This window comes from Homo sapiens, chromosome 5, assembly GCF_000001405.40.
Source record: "Homo sapiens chromosome 5, GRCh38.p14 Primary Assembly".
In the NCBI taxonomy this organism is placed as follows: Eukaryota; Metazoa; Chordata; class Mammalia; order Primates; family Hominidae; genus Homo; species Homo sapiens.
Genome location: NC_000005.10, coordinates 83,637,326 through 83,651,103, shown reverse-complemented (window position 1 = coordinate 83,651,103; position 13,778 = coordinate 83,637,326). Strand labels below are relative to the sequence as shown.

The 13,778-nt window shown below is 36.0% G+C and overlaps 1 protein-coding gene across 7 annotated transcripts in view; it reads left to right on the top strand.

Moving 5' to 3' along the window:
- Positions 1-13,299, top strand: part of HAPLN1 (hyaluronan and proteoglycan link protein 1) — an 83,051-nt gene extending 69,752 nt beyond the window's left edge. For all 7 annotated transcript variants that reach the window (XM_017009053.2, NM_001884.4, XM_017009051.2 and 4 more), the window contains 2 exons: positions 6,439-6,741; positions 9,319-13,299. In XM_017009053.2, the coding sequence (XP_016864542.1) occupies positions 6,439-6,741; positions 9,319-9,608 (593 nt within the window). In that variant the 3' untranslated portion in view covers positions 9,609-13,299. The remainder of the gene's footprint in view (positions 1-6,438; positions 6,742-9,318) is intronic.
- Positions 13,300-13,778: the final 479 nt, after the last annotated feature.

Below are 13,778 nucleotides of genomic sequence, written 5' to 3'. Positions count from 1 at the left end.
ATTTACTGTCTATGTTTATTTTACAAAATTAAACTCTAAATAAAAAGAAACCAGTATAACTTACCAGAAATACAAGGAAATAATAAAAATAAATACAATAAAATAAGGTCACTGTTTTAAAGGAGCTTCAACCTATGTTACAGTATAACGCATTATAGGGTCAAATCAAGGCTCCTCCAAGACACAATTAGAGATGCTGAAAGGGGACTAAGAAAATAATTTTTGGCGGATCACAAGGTCAGAAGATTGATACCATCCTGGCTAACATGGTGAAACCCCGTCTCTACTAAAAATACAAAAAATTAGCCGGGCATGGTGGCAGGCGCCTGTAGTCCCAGCTACTCGGGAAGCTGAGGCAGGAAAATGGCGTGAACCCAGGAGGCAGAGCTTGCAGTGAGCCGAGATCACACCACTGCACTCCAGCCTGGGCGACAGAGCAAGACTCCATCTCAAAAAAAAAAAAAAAAAAAAGAAAAGAATTTTTTTCTCCTAGGCTCTGCACCATTGCAAATCTCCAGACTCTCCATGCTTAGGGAACATTCCCTGCCATATAGAATATATGCATATGAGCTAAGTAAATGTGGTCCAAGAAACCAATTTAATTGATACATATTTTTACAGGTGCTGTTTTGGTGCCATGAGATGGAAAGAATTCCAATCTTTGCTCTTTCATTCAACAATCTTATAGTCCATTAAAGATTCTCAAATAATTTAATGAAATAAGGCAGAAGTCAGTAAAATAAGTAGGCACAAACAAATTTCTATAATCATATGTTCTATTTATTTTGTTCATGTTCAGTCAATCTTCTTTATAGATGAAGCTTAAGACAAACACCTTTTCTAAGATAACATGGCTAGCTCTAGTAAGAGCTAGAGCTGGAATTTGATACCAAAGGTATTGCATGAAGCCTATGCTCTACTCCACTGTGATTTAAGGGTTTGTAAGAAGGAGAAATTTTCTTTTGGTAGAGGAGAGGCTTTAAAAAAACAGGAGCATTCAGCTGCTTCAGGCTTTAGAAAATTCTGAAAGTCTCAAAGTTATTGGAGCGATAAGCTAGGACCTGTCCTGTGCTCGTGGTAGCTGTTAAATCTGCCTCCTCCATGATGTTCTCATAGCACCTTATGTAGACTTCCATTATAGCTCTGATCACATTTTGTTTTGTAAATATTTGTAAACTTCTTTGTCTGTTAAACATGATCTACTTGAGGACATTCAAGTGCCAAGAACAGAATTCATGCTCAGTAAATAGTTTACAAGTAAAAGAATGTTTGATACAAAGTGTTTAAACTTTCAAATACAAAAAAGGGTGCATGCAATGTGGGAGTCATGGAAACCATTCTTAAGAAAGAGACACGGCCGGGCATGGTGGTTCACGCCTGTAATCCCAGCACTTTGGGAAGCCAAGGCGGGTTGATCACTTGGAGTCAGGAGTTTGCGACCAGCCTGGTCAACATGGTGAAACCCCATCTCTACTAAAAATACAAAAATTAGCCTGGCATGGTGGTACGTGCCTGTAATCCCAGCTACTCTGGAGGCTGAGGCAGGAGAATCGCTTGAATCCAGGAGGCGGAGATTGCAGTGAGCCGAGATCGCGCCATTGCACTCCAGCCTGGGTGACAGAGCGAGACTCCGTCTCAAAAAAACAAACAAACAAACAAAAAAAAACCAGATACTTGATTTGGACCATGAATGTAAGCCTTTCAAAAGGTAATGAGCATGAAAAAGCAGGAGAGAGGGCATCATAGATAAGAGAGAGAAATTACTCAAAGCAAAAATGTGAACAACAGATACCACCGACAGCATTCCAGCTTGCCTGCATTAAGTCTCACGTTGGTGGCAGGGTGGGATAAGAATGTTTAACTTTTCATTGTCGCTAATTTCAAACATTTGGAAAAGTAAAAGGAATAGTGTAATGAATCCATATATCATCATCCAGCTTCAAAAAGTATCATGATATAGCCAATCTTATTTTATTTTGCTTTCTTACTCCCACTACCACTGAATAATTTTCAAGAAAAACTCAGATGGGATATTATTTTGTCTAAATATACTTCAGAGTAAGATGAGGATTGATATTTCAAAGTAAATTTACAACAAATTCAGATAGCCACAAGAATAAAATAAAAGCCATAAAAATAAAATTTGAGAAAACTTGACATAAGCTAAGGACACTCTCCATGTATTCTGGGATAGAAACTCAAGATGCAGCAGATTATATGCATAAGAGTTTGAAATCTGTGCTGAACCACACACGGCAAAAGACATACCTTCTGGTTATCACTTATTAGCTCTCGTTCTCATTTTTAACCTTTTTCATTATCAATGACATCCTTACATGTGACTATCTACCAATCAGGCAGTGGTACTCAAACTCCCTGTCAGTCTTCTAACATGCACCAAAGGGCCAGGGAAGCATCTCATTTTAAATGCCTTGACTGAGCTGCTTTTCCAACTGTAATTGCACATTATCTTTAATTGAGTTGGTCCTTTAATACCAGCTTAAATGCTATTTACACTAAAGAATTTTACTAATTAGAAAAAAAAATTCTTCATGTAGCCTAAATTATATAGCTCCTATTTGTATTACAAGCTTTTATTCTGCCTTGGATTCAAGCCATATATATATCCAAACTACATATATTTATTCTGTCTTGGATTCAAACCATATATATATATATATATATATATATATATATATATATATATAGTCAAATATAGGAAGAGGCCACATCCATACCTATATCCTAGAGTACCAAGCACAGTGCCTTGCTGTTAGTTGTTAAGAACTGTCCATATAACCATACTGACAAAAAAAAAAATTGTAAATCCTCAACAAAGACTGACCTCCATGTGAGTTGGAATTAGATATGGAAACACGGCATTTTCATACAGAATCTTGGAGAGGGCAGAGCCCTCTGACTGCCACCAATTACCTACCTAGAAATAGCAGGCAACAAGCAACAAGCTTTATACAGATGTAACAAAAGAGTGTCACTAGGAATTTAGGAAGAAGCTTGGACTACAGAATCAGCAATTCAATTGAGCACAGCAATCAATAAATACACAAATAATGATATGAAAAACATGACATTTATGCTTCCAAACTTCCATTGTATTTATCTTCCATTGGTGAAAATGGGGCTAAATATACAAAATTATAGTCTGAGAACTATCAGAAATAGAAACGCAATTTCAGATATGTGCATAGCACTGATAAGCACTATGACAGGCACTAAGGAAGGTAATATTATTTATGCTACATGGTCGCTGCCTTTTTATGACTAGAAATATTTACTTTATGTAATTATTAAAGCTTACTTTAACTTTTATGTGTCCCTTTTGATTATATTTTGACATATAAGTATGGAGGATAAATTAGTCAGATATTCCTTGGACAATCATACCACCTTCTTTCCCATCCATAAAAGTTTAACTTTTTTTTATTTTTGCAACATTGGATAAAAGCAACCATTTGCTCCAGAATTCAGCTGTAAGAATTGCACATTTTTTCTACAGAGCCAAGAAGGTTTCTGCAATTGGATGTTAAAATCTTAACTAGCCAGAAGTATAATAAGTAAACAAATAAAATACTAACAATAATGAAGTTCCAAAAATGGCCCTGCTTGTAAGATACATCTTACTGTTGAAATGTGTATGTGAAATTTGTAGAATACAAGGAAAGTTTTAAAACTTTGAGTAAAGCATAGAGCTTTACCTTGATTTACTTGGAATATGTTCTTTCCAGCACATCAAACAGTAATTCAAATTTGTTAAGTAAATCTTTTGAGCTGATACAACACTTAGTTGACAATTCTTACAATTGAAAAATACTAAAATATTAACATAAGTTTCACTTTGACCCTAAAAAATGATTGTATGAAATTATGTTGAATTTGAAAACAACTCAAAAATATATAGCACTGGATGTGGAACTAAATCGTATTTAAGTAATGTTCAGTGGTTAATCAAGGACAAATTACTAGAGAAAAACTTGTCCCGATGTTTATGAGAGTCCACCAAAATACACTACAGTGAATTTAAACCTGAAAGATTTTCCAGGTCTTTAAAATTAGTATAAATTAAAATATTCTGCATTCTCCAATGTTACCATCTTCAGCCATTTTGGAAATGGAAGTCAACCCCACTGGTTTCTTTCTCTCCTCAGGTTGAGATACTTTGAGATTTTCTGTCACTTAAGATCTAGCTAAAAGGAATCTCTACTGAATAAATCAAATATTTTCCTTTTCATCAGCACTCCCAGGGTTGCTGAGGAAAGAGGATAAAAGATATGAGGGACCAGGGCACCATAATAGTTATTTCCCAGCACTCACTGGGTTCCCAGCTCAGTGCCTGGGCAGAGCCCTCCTTAGATAGAACCATCTCCAGGCCTTCCCTCACCCCTCACCACAGGAGTTAGTGGCAACCAAGAGAGGCTTTTACTCCTTCCTTTTGGCTCTGATTCAGCTTATAGATCCTTCAGCCAAGAACCTGAGAAGGCAGAATGAGATCAGGAAGCCTTCTTGGGTCTCTGCCTTTCATGGATGGTGCCAGCTGGATTGCCCTACAGAGACAAACGTGTCCTACCGAGGCCTTCAGTGGATGTGACTTGATTTAAGGCCATTGAAATTTCTTCTTGTAGAGTCTTCTAGGACAATTTATTAAAGAAATATTTCTGTGTACTGGTTATGCTATTAGTGAGTTTGTACATCATCTTGAATAGCGTCTGCAGTCTCATAAAATAGCACATGTGCTATAACTCACCAAATTACTGTGTCAGTGGGACAAATGTTTGCATTCCAGATGCCAAAATACTAGTTATTTCTAATTATATTAAAAAATTCAAGGCAAGCCCTTGAATAATGATTCAAAATTACTTATCTTTTAATAACCATGGGAGAAATACTTTGACACATTAGTCCTTTTCAAAGTCCAGCAAGTGATGCAACTTTGCTTTCTTATGTGGTAATCCTTAGCCTTTAAAGAAAATGGGCAGAGTGTTGTGAGACAGCTTGGTCACCTCCCATAATTATTTGACCAAAAGAAATGTTTTGGAAAGCCATACACCTTCCTAGGCAAAATCAAATACGAAGTCACACTGTTTACATTTGCTAAGGAACTTTTGTCCTCAAAATATTTAACTTAATTATTTGGCATTAGTCAATCAATGGATGTCTATTCTGTACCTACCTTTTACAGGACAAGCTTAGGGAAGTTTTTTTTTCCTGTTTATAATAAAAATGTTTCAAACCCCTTACTTTCAGTTTGCAATATATACATGTGGAAGTTGAAAAATAGTAATGGAAATACTTTTAAATGAAAGCCCTTGTTTTAGTCCTGCTATTTAAGGGCAGGGAAAAAAAATAAGATTAAGGGCTACATTAAAAGTAAACATGCAAGAGTACCATGATGCTTTCTATGGAGGCGTGCCTCACTGTACAGATCTGTCTTATTAATCTGAAATAAAGTTGTTTAATTATTTTCTTGTTAAATATGCAAAGGAGTCCACTTTAGCAGGGGTATCCAATATTTTGGCTTTCCTCGGCCACATTGGAAGAAGAACTGTCTTGGGCCACACATAAAATATACTAACACTAATGATAGCTGATGAGCTAAAAAAAAAAAAAAAAGAAAGAAAAAGAAAAAAGAAAATCACAAAAAATCTCACAATGTTTTAAGAGAGTTTACAGATTTTTGTTGGGCTGCATTTAGAGCTGTTCTGGGCCACATGTGGCTCATGGGCCATGGGTTGGACAAGCTTGTTTTCACATTTCTCCAAATAAGAGTCCCCCCTAAGTGAAGGTTACTTATCTGCAAGTTATTAGAAGAACATGTAAAAAGTTATATATCTACATTTGAATAATTTGTTAATATGCTTGTTTATACATTTAAAAGACTACATAAAACTAATTACTAATTATATAGGAAAAACACTAAGAAAAACATTGTGAATTTTGATAAGTACCTCTCTTGGAGCACTACATCCCCTCCGCTCTTAGTATTCAACAATGACTATTTCTATATTTGCCACCAACTCTTAGTATTCAATATTGACTTTTTCCCTAGGTGACAGAGCTCAGTAGTAACCCATTATAGTGTTAGTAACTGGCAGCAAATGGTAAGTTCCTGGGGAGGGCTATTTGGAAACTGTAAACTGTAGACAGATCTCTTCAGAAAGGAGAATTTTAAGACTTGAGTTGAACTCTTAGCTAAAGCAGTAAATCACTGAAGTTATAAAATTAAAAAGCTGATCATGAGATGCTCAGAACTGAGAGGCTGCTTGAAGGGGAAAGGGATCATGAGAAACAGTTGCTAGTTGACGAAAAACTACTGTCTCATCTGATGGAGGGTCTGTTAGGTTTTTCACCAACTAGGTGGCATTTGCTCAGAGTTGTTAGTTTTGGGGCTTCTAACAACTCCTTGCTTTCTCCTTTGGACAGGTGTGGTATTCCCTTACTTTCCACGACTGGGGCGCTACAATCTCAATTTTCACGAGGCGCAGCAGGCGTGTCTGGACCAGGATGCTGTGATCGCCTCCTTCGACCAGCTGTACGACGCCTGGCGGGGCGGGCTGGACTGGTGCAATGCCGGCTGGCTCAGTGATGGCTCTGTGCAATATCCCATCACAAAGCCCAGAGAGCCCTGTGGGGGGCAGAACACAGTGCCCGGAGTCAGGAACTACGGATTTTGGGATAAAGATAAAAGCAGATATGATGTTTTCTGTTTTACATCCAATTTCAATGGTAAGATAATAACTGTACTGCCTTCTTTCCTATCTCACAGACTATTCCATACTATAACACTACACTTGGCTTTTAATCTTATCTTCTTAGAAAAACAAACAAAAACAAGCTTTGAAGTTTTGCTGTAGTTTAAAAAGATATAAAAAGTTCTTGAGTGTCATAATTTTTAAATATCCACACAAGTCAAGCAAAAGTACATATTCCCAGTACTCCTACGTTTTATTTCATCCCATTTTTATATGAAATAATTGAAACTGTTATGTGGCTTGAGGTCTGTTACCTATTGTCAAAGATGATGCTGCCAGTGTGTGCCCTCCGTAGGATATGGTTCTGTCAATCAAAGTAAGCGTGCCTTCATTATTACCCATGCTCTCCCTCTCTCAATCACAATCACATATACACTTATTCATAGGTGATCAACAGAGCTCAGGACAAAGTGGGGAGTAAGCAAGAAAAAGAAAATAGAACTAACTCTCAAGGTGAAAGCAGAAGGAAAGGTTGCAGCAGTGTTGATGACTGATTCATTTTATTCATACACCTCTCAGCCCTTCTCTTGCTGTCTTCAGAACCAGCCACATCATTTGTGCAGCCCGGTGTAAAATGAAAATGTGGGCTGGGTGCTGTGGCTCACGCCTATAATCCCAGCACTTTGGGAGGCCTAGGCAGGGGCACTGCTTGGGCCCAGGAGTTTGAGACCAGACATGGCATCATAGTGAGACCCCATCTCTAAAAGAAAAAATAAATAAATAAAAAGAAAAAAAAAGGAAAGAAAATGTGGAGCTCCTTGTTCAAAACTGTTAAAAATTTTAAGATGGTGACAGCGGAACATTAAACTAAATGCAGAGCCCTTCTCCGTGTGGGGCCCTGTGTGGTGGCACAGGTCACACACCCATGAAGCAAGCCCTGGCTCCATTATTTATATTTGAGGTCCCTGGTGACATGCTTTGGGAAAAATAGAAAGAGATTATGGGTCAGGGGTCAATAATCTTTTTTTTTTTTTTTTTTTTTTAAGACAGGGTATCACCCTGTCTGTCACCCAGGCTGGAGTACAGTAGCATGACCTGGGCTCACTGCAACCTCCACCTCCCTGGTTCCCAAATGACTCTCCCTCCTCAGCCTCCTGAGTAGCTGGGACCATGGTGCATGCCACCACGCCTACTTAATTTTTGTTTTTTGGTTTTGTGAGTTTTCTTCTTTTTAATGTAGACATGGGGTTTCACTATGTTGGCCAGGCTGGTCTCCAACTCCTGACCTCACATGATCAGCCTGCCTCAGCCTCCTAAAGTGCTGGGATTACAGACGTGAGCCGCTGTGCCTGGCCGACAATCTTTTTCTGTAAAGGGCCATATAGTAAATATTTTTGGCTTTGCTGGCCATATGGTGTCTGCTGCAAAGGCTCATTGTAAATGTGTATGTTGTAGCACAAAAACAGCCATCAAAATACTAAACCCAGAGGGAGATGGCAGCATTCCAATAAAACTTCATTTACAAAAACAGGTAGGAGGCCAATTTTGACCCATGAGCTATAGTTTGCTGAACTCTGGTGTAGATGATTGTACTTAACCTCTAGTTAATATTCCAGTGGCCACTACCCTTTCTCCAAATCACATCATCTCAGTCTAGAAAGAACTGGCAAGCATTAATTTATACTTCAGTAACCTATATCTAATGAGGGTCAGGGGAACATCATATTACATGTCTAATCAGGCAAGAGAGTCTGATTAGATTCGACCTAAAACTAAGATGTATAAGAAAATCTTCAGTCCATGTGTATTTATCACTTTCAGTCAGTTGAAGTCATATTTTATACATTTTACACATACTTAATACATATTGAAGGAATCTCAGTAATTAACACTATTCAATAAGTGATCGGGACTAATTTGTCTTCCTAGTGAAATTGAGAAATAGTTAGGTGTCAGGGTTTCAACAAATGGAAGTTGAAAAAAATAAACAAATTTGTCTTCTTTGCTAGTGAACCAACACAGACTAGGTTTACATTCTAAGTACGTATTATCTGTGGCAAGTGACTTCCTGTATTTTACGCATTTTCATACGTAGTCTTTGAATGAGAATAATGTCTAATTGATACCTGTAATGAAAAGGACTTGAGGGCTTTTGATTTTTTTTTAAATGGACTTTTATGTCAGGAATGTGTTTTGATCCTTTCACATTCAAATTTTGCCTCTCCAGAAACTTGTGCTGGGGTTCAGTCTTGTACAGCTAGAATTTAAATAGCCCTTGCTTTTAACATGGAATTCTGTCTTCTCTAGTGCCACAGAAGGGCTCTTTTAGTCACTAATTAGCTAACAGAAACTGCATCTGCCATTTCCCTTTTCTTTTTAAAGCTATAAAAGGGGCATGTCTGGACACATATTAAGGGGCAAGGGAAAAAACTAATTTAATGGAAGTGACGTAGGGACACTATATTTAATTGACATTTCTATGTTCCCAAAATTTTACAAACATTGCTCTATATCCCCCTTCATTGAGAAACACTTCCGTTTTTGGCTCTTTCTATCTCTGTGTGGCTCAATTGAAGACCAGCCCATTGACTCTGTCTCCTTTTCTCTACAGGCCGTTTTTACTATCTGATCCACCCCACCAAACTGACCTATGATGAAGCGGTGCAAGCTTGTCTCAATGATGGTGCTCAGATTGCAAAAGTGGGCCAGATATTTGCTGCCTGGAAAATTCTCGGATATGACCGCTGTGATGCGGGCTGGTTGGCGGATGGCAGCGTCCGCTACCCCATCTCTAGGCCAAGAAGGCGCTGCAGTCCTACTGAGGCTGCAGTGCGCTTCGTGGGTTTCCCAGATAAAAAGCATAAGCTGTATGGTGTCTACTGCTTCAGAGCATACAACTGAATGTGCCCTTAGAGCGCATCAGTTTTAAAGTCATTAAGAACATGTGAAAGGTGTTTTTTTTTTCCAATATGAACTCATGCAAGTTACCAAAACTGTGATAACCCTTTTTTACTTACTGTAAAGAGTCATTTTCATAAAGATCAATTCATTGATTTGTTTTTTGTAAAGCTATCATTCAATATATATTATAAATTAATATAAATTTAAGGGAAGCTCTATGTAAGGAGACTTAGAGCCAAACTGTTTAAGCTGTATCATCCCAACAAAGTATCCTTTCATGAACGGGGCATGCAATAGCTTAAGAATTGCTAGGATTAAATTAAGGAAAGTAAAGCTACTCAGAGCAGCAGGTTCCACAAGCACAAACTTTACACATTTGTACAATTTTGAAATGCACTACAATAAACAAATTAGAGCAACACATTTGAAATACAGGCTTCTTTACATAAACTGAGAGGTTATACAAAACTCAGTTTCACAAGGGAACAATCTATACCTTTCTAAAAGTTAATATTTCAAGTCTCTAATAGGCAGAATATTTTACTCTTTAAAATCCTGCCTTTCTGACCAAAAAAAAAAAAAAAAATTCATATGGATTCCAATCCATAGTAACAAGCACAGTTAAAACTCCTCAATAATCCCATTTATATGAAGCATGACACATAAATAAGCAGATAATATTTAACCAATGAAAAAGACTTCTACCTTCTTATAATTAAAATTACACATGTCTAAGAGGAATTGTTTTATCTTTTGAGTAGCTTTACCGAGTTGTATTTAAATTCTAAGGGCCATTTGCTAAGCAGCATTTAGCATCTACTCAGGGCAGTTATATAGATAAACTGCTGGACAGAAAAATTGTAAAATTTAGCAGCTTGATTTTCTGTTAGCCTATGAAATGTTATTGTCCTATAAAAATAACTTTAAACTGATTTAATATTTCATATTTACATTATATGAAAATCAATTACATTATAAAAGGAATCCCTAATGCAGAAACAAAGATGCAACTTTCAAAATTCTTATTATTCCTATTTGTATATACACGAGAGAACCCAACCAGTGCCTGTGTTTGGGGGGAAAAGTCAACAGTGTAGTTCTAAACCTTATCCCAAACAGAAAATGTGGTTAATGATGTCACTTTCCTTGCTGGTCATCATTAGGCTTAAATTAAATGCTGAAGCTGTCATCAAAGAGTTTACACTAAAATCTTCAGGGCTTTAAATAAAAGGTTAAGTCCAGCTTCCAAACACAATTTTCCACATTAGCAGCTCCAATCTTCTTAAATAAAGCTCTGTTTTCCTATATTTTTATGACTGCTGAGACCCCACAGGGACCAATATTTGTATTCAAATTACATTTCATGGTTTCCCATTGTTTCACAATGAGTTCTAATAAATGGGATTTACTATAATAATCCAAGTATGACATAGCCGGTATGCTTTCATGAATGTTTTTATGTAGATTTTCCTCCCATGAACATGAGTAAATAAATCTGTTTCCTGAATGGATTGTGGTTGCATTTAAAGCTCTGTAATAATTCTAATAAATTTACTCTATAGAGTTCTGTGTGTGGAAGGTATAGAACAATTGGAAGTCCATGAAACCATAACTATAATCATATATTATTCAGACAAAATATTGTAATAAAAGTAGGTCCTTTCTTTCATCAAAAACATATCTGAAAATTTTCAGATGCTTTAATATTAAAAGATGACAATGTTATGTATGCACATTTTTAAGTTAGGTTGGATATGCAAACTGTACAAAACTATAAATCCAAAGAGTTTGTAAAGTTTAAACTCAAACACTGGTGGTATAAATAGAACTTGCACTTCTAAATTAAGGAAGATACCTAAATGGTCTAGGATGAGATGATATATTATTTAAAGAGGGGACTATCTCCCAAATAACAACTTTAACACCTCAAATATGGGGGCTAGCTCATTGAAAGAAGTCCATACTTGAACTATTATTATGTATGTTCCGATAATTTTGTTGAAAATACAAGTGGGAACAAATTTCTATTGAAGCAAACATCTAATTTTCAGTTATGTCCAGAACTCTACTTTATAATGTTAAATGTAGTAGTATTTCTTAACTTTTAAATACTTACTACTATAGGAATTGGTGCTGATCAAAATCTCTGGAGTGACTGTTAGCTGATTAAAATCTATACCACTTACACATCATTTTTCCATTCGTGTAAAAAACAAAAAATCTTAACACAGTGAATACTGCTGAGCAGAATTTTTTCTTCTCATTTTGCTCAAAGGACCAGAATTTCCATGCCCTTTATACTCATACTTGAATGAGTCTTTTTAATGTTCTCATTTTGCTGTTTTTCCACCAAATGTCTATTTTCCTACTTCATTCCCCAAGATGTCTCACTGAGCAGGTCTGAAAAAGAAAGGTTATTCTAATACAATTCCTAACAGAAAGTTGGTACAACACTGGCTAATTCAGAAATCGCTCCTCAGACTTAGATTCCAAGAGTATCAAAGAGATTAGATGGGAGGCTGGGCCAGGAACCCTTGTTTTAATGTATTTGTCCATAATTAACACTGGTGACCATATAAGGAACAAAGTATATCTGCACATTTCACTGAGACATCTACATTGGAAAACCCAAACAAAAAGAAGCAATTCAAATAAAAAGACAACATAAGAACGAAAATAAGTTGGTCACATTAACACTGGAAGCCATCTTTAAGTGAGTGCTGTCATATTGTGTCACAGTAATTTTTAGCCAAATATGGCGTTTGTAAATTTAAACTTTCTCTCATGGAAAGGGGGCTGGTACCTGTCAAAGTGTTATTTTATGCAACAATATAGTCACTTTTTATTTTGGCAATTAGAAGTAGACTCAAAGGAGATTACAATTTGGTTGCTGGCAGCCATTCTGGGTTTCTTGATTTTAGTACTCCAAAGAATATGGTGGTCTCATGGAGTAGCTGACCACTAAGGAGGGGAGGATTAAAAGGGAATCACTTATCAGTTTTTAGCATAGGATGCATTAAGAAATATCAACGGATAACTGACATCGTTTTGTTAAGAAGTTAACTGTATCGTAGCTCACTACTGCCAGAGCGGCAATGGATGTACAACGAAAGAGATGAAAAATACAAAAGTTATTAAGCCACCTGATTAAAAGAAAACCAATATTTAAAGGCATTTAATAGATATCAAGTATAACTTTGAGGAGAAGAATCAATCTGTATTACCAAAAAAAAAATGTTTTGATTTTCTGTAAGATACAATGAACTGGTACATTAAAAGTCAATTTTGTGTTACTGCAGTATCTTTTAATTCTTCTGAGTTGTAGAATCTTAGCTATTTTTCTTTGTGTCAAACTCTGTCAATACATTATTTCCAAGAAAGGCATTTAATTCATTCTTGTTCTGATACATTTGACTTCAAATTGTAAATACGTACAATTTTCATTTCCTAGTACTCTTGCAAAGTCAAAAAAAAAAAAAGAGCATTTATATGGTGTCGCTAAATCAACTATAGTATTATCCCAAAATATATTGACTTTTTTCTCTTTGTATATGACTCAAAGCATAATTAATTTTGCCCACCAGTTCAGCAATCCCAGAAATCTATTGTGTTGTTGATTAGATTAACACATTTTAAATGCTTTATAACTTAATCATGAGTGCTGAATTAAAAAAAGGTTTTTCTTTTCATACTTAAGTTCTTCTCTTTAGCACTTTACACTCCCAATAGCAAGGAATATATTTTGCAATATTTCCACCCCTACTCTGGATTTTCAACATAAAAAATAGTTTCTGGATTTTTCTGATATACAGAAATGAATTCTTGAATGCAAGGATCTATTGCTGGTGCAATGACTTGAACAGAAACACACCTAAATGAGTTTGTCATTGATATTCAAATAAAAATGTACCTTAAAATTTTTCCCATACTTACTTGCAATACATTAATTGCCTTGGAGAAGAAAAAAGTCCAAGGATAATATGAAATTAAATCATTTACTTTTAGTGTTTCAGTTCTTACATAGATGGACGATATCTTCACCTTGCCAGCAATTTTTGTATATTGTGGCCTGGTCATATACAAAACTTGCTTGATACTAATATTGAAGGATCTTACAGAGTTTCATAATGTTAAAATAAAACAAGTAAACTATTAAGATGTGATGTCCTT